Source organism: Homo sapiens, chromosome 10, assembly GCF_000001405.40.
Source record: "Homo sapiens chromosome 10, GRCh38.p14 Primary Assembly".
NCBI classification, from domain to species: Eukaryota; Metazoa; Chordata; class Mammalia; order Primates; family Hominidae; genus Homo; species Homo sapiens.
Window position 1 is genome coordinate 33,660,503 of NC_000010.11, and position 7,439 is coordinate 33,667,941.

Genomic DNA, 7,439 nt, shown 5'->3' on the forward strand with positions numbered 1-7,439 from the left:
AGACACGCGGAGTCTCTCTCCTGATTAGGACCTTCCAGGGCCTCCTTCCCCACTAAGAATCAGGCCCGCTATCACCTGCCACCCCCTGGCTGCTGTTCCAAGAGCCTGCTCACCTCCTTGCTGTCTCTCTCCGCTCACTCTAACCCCACTGCTAGTCCCTTGACATTATGGAGTGAGCTGATCTTAAGCCCCTTATATTCGTTCTTCCTGCTGCCTGGAACGCTGTTTCCTTGGGTCTCTACGAGGCTTCCTGTCATTCTGCTCCAGCTCAGGTGTCAATTTCCTGTCTCAACTGAATAGAGAGCATCCCATCCAAAATAGCATCCCCCTGCCCTCCAGCCCCTCCCCTGCTCTCTTCTCTGCACAGGTCTTAACCATTGCACGATGTTACAGTGCATATTCATTTATTTATTTTTGCCTGTGAAGTGCCTTGAAGACAGGAAATCTTTTTTGTTGTTGCTCGTGGCTGGATCTCAAGTGTACAGAACCGTACCAAGCACACAGTAAATACGTGCTGATGATGGAAAGGATTTAAATGGCATGACCTGGTGTCACCAAGGCTATTCTCCACGTGTTCCCTTTCAAGGACCGTGGGGAGAGATGTTGGTACAATCACGATGGGAAATAATCTGGCAATGTTACCAAATGCCTCTAACATGTTTCTATCCTTGGACTCAGTTTACCACTTTTAGAAATTTTAGAAATTTACACTCGAGATCAGCAATATGGGCAAAGATTTACATAGAAAGATATTTATATTAGAGTGGTATTTTCAACAGCAAAAATGAGAAATGATGGGAATAAATAGTAATAGCAATAATGATATAGAATAGCTACTATTGATGGAGCAGTTCTGAAGTGTTGGGTAAGATGCTAAGTGCTTTAAACATTCTAAGAACCAGTTATTTGCAATTTAAAATGAAGACACTGAGGCAACTTGCCCGAGTCATCACCTGGTAAATTTTATAAAAAGTTAGAAATCAAGTTCTTGCTTCTCAGCCTGAGCTAAGAAATAAACAAATAGCAAGGCCAACATCACTTGTTGAGGACTTTGACAGAATCATCAAACAAGGCAAGCATTTTGCCTTACTCCGGGGGAGGGAGGTCAAAGGTATTGTTGAGCACCCAGGGTCACAGTTGTTCCTTCTGATCCAAACAACCCTAGATCCCCTGTGCCAGGCACAGGAAACTTTATCCCTTCGGTTCTCTGAAACTCTGTGCATGGAGCCAGCACGAGGACTTTTGCAAACATTTATCACTGACCTTTAAGAGGTCCACATTAAGCAAACAAACTCTTTCCTCTGCCCCACCCTCTCTTCTTCCTATTGTTGCCAGGGTCTATGGTTTCCTCTTGAATCTCTGAGCTATCCTCCATGGAGTCTCACTCATTTCCTGTCCGGGGAGCCTTGGCATCTGATCTGCAGGCGGCAGGCGCAGGAGCCAGCAGCCCCAGGGGCTGTTTCTCCTTCCTCATTGTCTTCGGGGAAACCGCAGGGCTGTTCTCCTCCCCTTCTGCCCAAAGGCCACCGTCACGAGAACCCAGCCCTCTGGTAGGAGGCCATCTGGCCCTGCCACCAGACCTGTTGATGGGTTGGCAACCGTCCCTTCCTCCTGTCTCCCCACTGCACCCCTCCACGCCTCCGCTCCACAAGAGGAAACTCTTAGCATCCCAGATGCTTGCAGCTTCGCCTGACTCCTCCAGTCCTCGGCTCCATATGGTCTGGATTCACTCTTTGAAATGGCTCAGCCTCTAATTCCCCATATTCTGTTCATGTGCTCATTTTAAGACTGTGTCCCATTGCCATGCTTGCTGCTGCTACATTTTAAATTGTTTTAATTTAAAGCTGATGCTGCTGGGCTAATTAATGCAACCGCTGCTAACCACGTGCACACATACATACTCGGAGGGCTGTGTGTGTGTGTGTGTGTGTGTGTGTGTGTGTGTGTGTGTGTTGAAGGGAAAGTTCCCTTCACATGGTTTCTTCTTGTCCCCAGAAATCTGAAAATCTCTTTGTCTTGGTACTTGTCCCAGCAACATCACTCTCTTCCTCTTTCTTTGGCCTATTCTTAGAATAAGGATATTTTGCAAAAAGAATAGGGGTATTTTGCAAAAAGCCACGGCCTCCTACCGTGCCAATTCTTGGAACAGCTACAAGAAACAAGACCCTCTTAGCCCAATTAGGGGAGTCAAACTGACCCAACTGCATACTTTCCTAAAGTTGACTGTGAACATTTCCGTCAGCATCGTTCCGATGTCTTTCCCTGCCTCTTTCTGGCTCTTTCCCTCCTACCTACCTTCAAACAGCCAAAGACCCCCGATTGCAAGGAAGGGTTATAGACCCTTTCTCCATTGCCTGCCTCCCGTGTCAATTCCTTCTTCCAGTCTTTCTGGGGGGGAAAAGGAACAATATGGTTAGTTCATTCAAGTATTCATAGTTGTTGGCCAATAGTAATATCAGGCAATAATCCTATCATTTAGTATTTTATTAAAATAGCAACAATATCTTAACCCAAAGGATTTATTAATACAGGGATGTCAAAATGATAGGAAAATATTTTTATATAAAAATTTTATATATCACCTCTCAGTTTGGTTTGTTTTTTGGCCTCTCTCCTATGACACCAGACTTCCGGGCAATCCTTGGCTCTGACCTTGGCACCTGGAAACAGCATGAATGTCCTTGAAGTTGGAGCCTTGAAGCTACTCAGGACTGCTCCACTCACCATAGAACTTTTTTTTTTTGAGACAGAGTGTTGTTCTGTTGCCCAGGCTGGAGTGTAGTGGTGTGATCTCAGCTCACTGCAACCTCTGCCTCCTGGGTTCAAGCAATTCTCCTGCCTCAGCCTCCAGAGTAGCTGGGACTACAGGTGCCTGCCACCACGCCCAGCTAATTTTTGTTTTTGTTTTTTTTTTAGTAGAAACAGAGTTTAACCATATTGGCCTGGCTGGTCTCAAACTCCTGGCTTCAAGCAATCTGTCTCCCTCAGCTTCCCAAAGTGCTAGAATTACAGGCATGAGCCACTGCACCCGGCCTGCTCCACTCACCATGTAACGTTTTCTGGTAGCACAAATGTTCAAGTGAACAATCTGGAAGATCAGATGAGAACCTAAATATGGATTATTTTCCAGAAGTGAGAATCAAACATGAATTTCCTCCTCATTCTTTGATTTAAGTGGGGGTTTTCCTTTTCTTTTTGTTTCTCTCAAGGCAGGATGAAGAAGCAAAGGCAGGCTAACTGTCATGGAGCCAGAGGACGAGGCCTCCTTTTCAATATTGTTTTTATTGATGAACAGCCATCTCACTCCATTTCCTGGCTGCGGTGCACTCAATTATATTTTCAGGATTGTGTGCCACCGAGTTCACACTGTCTTCTTCTTTTAGAAACTGCCTGGAATTATAAACAAAGGGGAATGCATTTTTAAGGAGTAAGGACAGGGAAGTCAGAATTACTGTGTCTCTCTGATTGCAGACAAATGACAATTTATTGAGCTTGCAAAGCCTGCCTGGATGGTGTCTTTGTTCTCGGTTTTATTTCTCCAGCATAGAAGGATGCCCTGTCTCCTTGCTAGAACAGGCTTGCTCTAAGGAAGGTCATTCCTGGTTACTAGAAATACAGAAGGCTGCACATGGACCAGTGTGCAGAGGCAGATGGGCCCGTGCCCAGGCCCCAACACTGGACCACGCTAGAACCACGAGTTGACTCAGACATAAAAACCAGTCAAATGAATCTGCCAGCACCATAAGTTAAGAGAGTTGGTTGGTTAATGTGACCTCAGTGTGGTAAAGTGAATGGAAAGGCCAGTAGCCAAGAGGCCTGGGTTTAATTTTAGCTCTGCCATCTGCTGCCTACAGGTCATGAAGTGCTTCTTTAGTGTCCCTTCAAGGGTTGGTTTCCTGATGAAACCAGCCCAATTGTCCCATAGAAATGATATCTATGGGTTTTTTTAATAAACATAGAAATTTACCCTGCCAGTTTTGAAACTTAAAATTTATATTTGTCTCATCTGAGTTTCTCTCTTAGCAAACTGACCCTCAGACAAGAGAAAGAAATTCAGCAGATCACCGCCAATGAGATGACAGACCCCTCATTCCTCACGACTGCTTCCTTATCCCTCCGTAATTCCTGTTTTATATTCCTCCCCTGCTATATAAACCCAGCAATTCTAGTCTCCTTGAAAGACAGATTTTAGACTAATCTTCTGTTTTCTGCAGCTGTAGCATCCGATTAAAGCCTTCTTCCCTGGCAATACTTGTTGTCTCAGTGATTGGCTTTCTGTGCAGTGAGCAACATGACCTAGACCAAGCCCCTGGGGTTTCAGTAACACTAATCAGCGGCATAGGCTGGGAAAATATACCTCTGGGATGCTGTCAGGAGGATGAGGTAAAAGGTCACCTGTGAAATGCTAATCTTAACTGTGTTAAGGATACATAACCAGGTGATCTGTGTAGTAGGAAGTAGTTTGGTCTTGGGGGAATAGCCCCCATGCCATCCCCCACCCCGAAAAAGGCAGCTTGTTGAACTTTCAAGCCTGAATTGGAAGAGAAGAAAATCACATATAAAACTGGGTGACTTGGCCAGCTGCGGTGGCTCACGCCTGCAATCCCAGCACTTTGGGAGGCTGAGGCAGGTGGATCACTTGAGGTCAGGGGTTTGAGACCAGCCTGACCAACATGGTGAAACCTTGTCTCTACTAAAAATACAAAAATTAGCTGGGTGTGGTGGACTGCACCTGTAATCCCAGCTACTAGGGAGGCTGAGGCAGGAGAATCACTTGAATCTGGGAGGCAGAGGTTGCAGTGAGCCAAGATCACACCACTGTACTCCAGCCTGGGCAACAAGAGTGAAACTCCATCTCAAAAACACAAAACAAAACAAAACAACACTGGGTGACTTTGTGGGAGTACGTGGCCTTTTCTAATTTTACCAGAAACCTATTTTCTGTATAGTTTTGTAAACACTCTAGAATCATTTGGGGGTGGGTGGGGGGTCCATCCTGAGTCAGAGATTCAGTCTCAATATGGACTGTGTTTCTGAATACCTTTGAAAACAATAATCTCTCCTATACACAAAAATCACCCACAGTGCAGGGCTTCCAAAAACTGACATTGTAAGAGTAGCCCTTTTCTGGTGAAGAGAAAGAAGCACATGTGATCTATGGTAACATGGGCTGTGAGTCACCTGGTGATGTATTAACATCTGGCAGAACAATATTATTTCTAATAATGACTAGCTAAGCATTTCTCAACTCAACTTCATAGGCCCATGAGCCAGCTGCTTCCCTGAGAGATTAACACCACCACAAGCTTAAGTGGTCCCATCCAAAACTAGTTCCAGAGATACACCTTAGGGATGCAAGGTGGCAGTTTCTTAAATTTTAAAATAAAGCACCAGTTTCCCGTAGTTGAGTTCTTTTATGTTTCCTTGTTACTGAATGCTCCTTTGAAACCAAAGGTATTGATATATTCTACCCTGCAGGGAAATCAATAAAAATTTTAATCACAAAATTAAATAAAAACCAAAGCTACTGACATTACATGGTAACACTCAGTGAAGCAACAACTTCAAGTTTTATGGTTCTTCTACAACTGGCCTTATTATTTGTAGAAAAATCAATATCGGTTTTAGAGTAATTTGGGATGCATCTTGTGATCACAGAAAACAAGTTCCTGGTTGACTTTACTAAACAAGTAAGAATGAGGCATTAAAATGTGTTCCTCCCTCCCCAACCCAGAGTGATTATTCCTGGGCAGCAGAAAAAAACACAAGTAGGGTGGCCCTAAATAACATCTCCAGCTCTGTCTCAAAGCACATCATTGTCCAAAGCCCTGGGCCACCTTCTACAAAGACAGTCTGTTGCAGTGGTTGATGGGTTGAAGGACTTTCCTAGAATGATTAAAAGCTTGGGATAGTACATGAGTTAAAATGTCCCCAGAAAAGCAGCACACGCTTCATGGAACATATAGTAATAGCACCCATTTATCACATGACCTTAGTGATGTCTGGTAACAAAAGACCCTATTTCACATTTGAGGAGGAAAAAATAAAAACGCTTTTTCAGGTCATTTTCAAGTCACAGGACTATAGGCCTGGATGTAATGTTAGGAGATATTAAGTCCAATAATGTCCAATCTCTTTGTAATGCAGGGGGCCTTCGAGAGGATTTCTGAAGGATGCAATTCCCCTTAACTGTCCTACATCCTTTCTCATCATTCAGTGGCAATGCATGCCCAGAAATATGTGCATAGAGACAAACTTATATCTTCAGGAACCACGAGCTTTCCAGTGCTAATGAATTCTTAGGCTGAAAGCTTGCTCTTGTCTCCTATAATAGTGGTAACCCACAGTGTGGAAAGTGAAACCATTGGCAACCTGAACCGTGATCCTGATTCCCAGACAGTGATGTGATAACACACTTTCAATGAACTTGAAGAGAACTTTGAATTGCTGCAAGGGTTTATTGGAGTCTAACTCAATATACTTTGGTCCCCTGTGCTCTTGTGTTAGATCTTCAAAATGGCTTTTTTCCAAGACTTGAGAGTGCTCACTCAGTAAAGAAAGCAGAACCAGAGGATGGGGCCTGCTTAATGTGTGGGAGGAGCCAGCTGCTTTAGGTGTGGAGGTTTTGAAAGTCAGGAAATGAAACATAAAGACTTTGCAAGGGTGAGGACAACAGTAAACCCAGCCAAGATTAGTCCTCATGGGCCTAAAGTTATCAACCTTGAATCAAAAGAGCAGGGCTTCAAATCCAGCTATTAGCATAAGAACTATTCCCAAAGCAAGAGTTCAAACCACTGGATGACCCCACTCTCAGGAAGCAGTAGCGGTCTTCGCACAAGATGACAGTCAGTGAGGCATTTAAGGTCTTTCCGTCTCTTATGGGAGCTACAGGTCAGTGAATCACCTCCAGGGACTAAGATGGGAAGTTGGAAAAGAGAGGGTGTGGGATACTTCTGTCTTTGCCAGTAAGAGCAAAGGAATCAAGGGGTTGATTAGATACTTGCAGGTATCTATATCAGCACCTTCGACATTGGCACTTCTGTTCTCATGTTCTCTTTCTGAGCAAGTTCACTGATTAAACAATCAAGGGCTTCTTCCAGATAAGTTTCTAAAGGCAGTCTATTCCAGAAGATTCTTCATGCTTCATCGACACTGGCTTTAACATCTCCACACTTGCAGTCCACATCTTCATCGTTTTTTTTTTTTTTTTTTGAGAAGGATAAAGAAGGGAAGTCAACTTGCTATGTTGCCCAGGCTGGACTTGAACTCCTGGGCTCAAGCGACTCTCCAGCCTCAGACTCCAGAGTAACTGGAATTACAGACACATGCCACACACCCAGCTTCACATCTCCTTCATCTTTTATGATCAGGTGTCCTCCAGCAAGCCTTCACAGTCAGCTTCCTCCCTGCTCCCCAGTCCACGCTCCCCAGCTTAAGCC

General features: G+C 44.4%; 1 annotated feature.

Moving 5' to 3' along the window:
- Positions 1,529-2,029: an enhancer, noted in NCBI's record as "H3K4me1 hESC enhancer chr10:33950959-33951459 (GRCh37/hg19 assembly coordinates)". NCBI's record gives its function as "activates a minimal SCP1, AML or CMV promoter by ChIP-STARR-seq in naive H9 embryonic stem cells {active_cell/tissue: H9 hESC(naive)}" and the evidence as "EXISTENCE:reporter gene assay evidence [ECO:0000049][PMID:30033119]".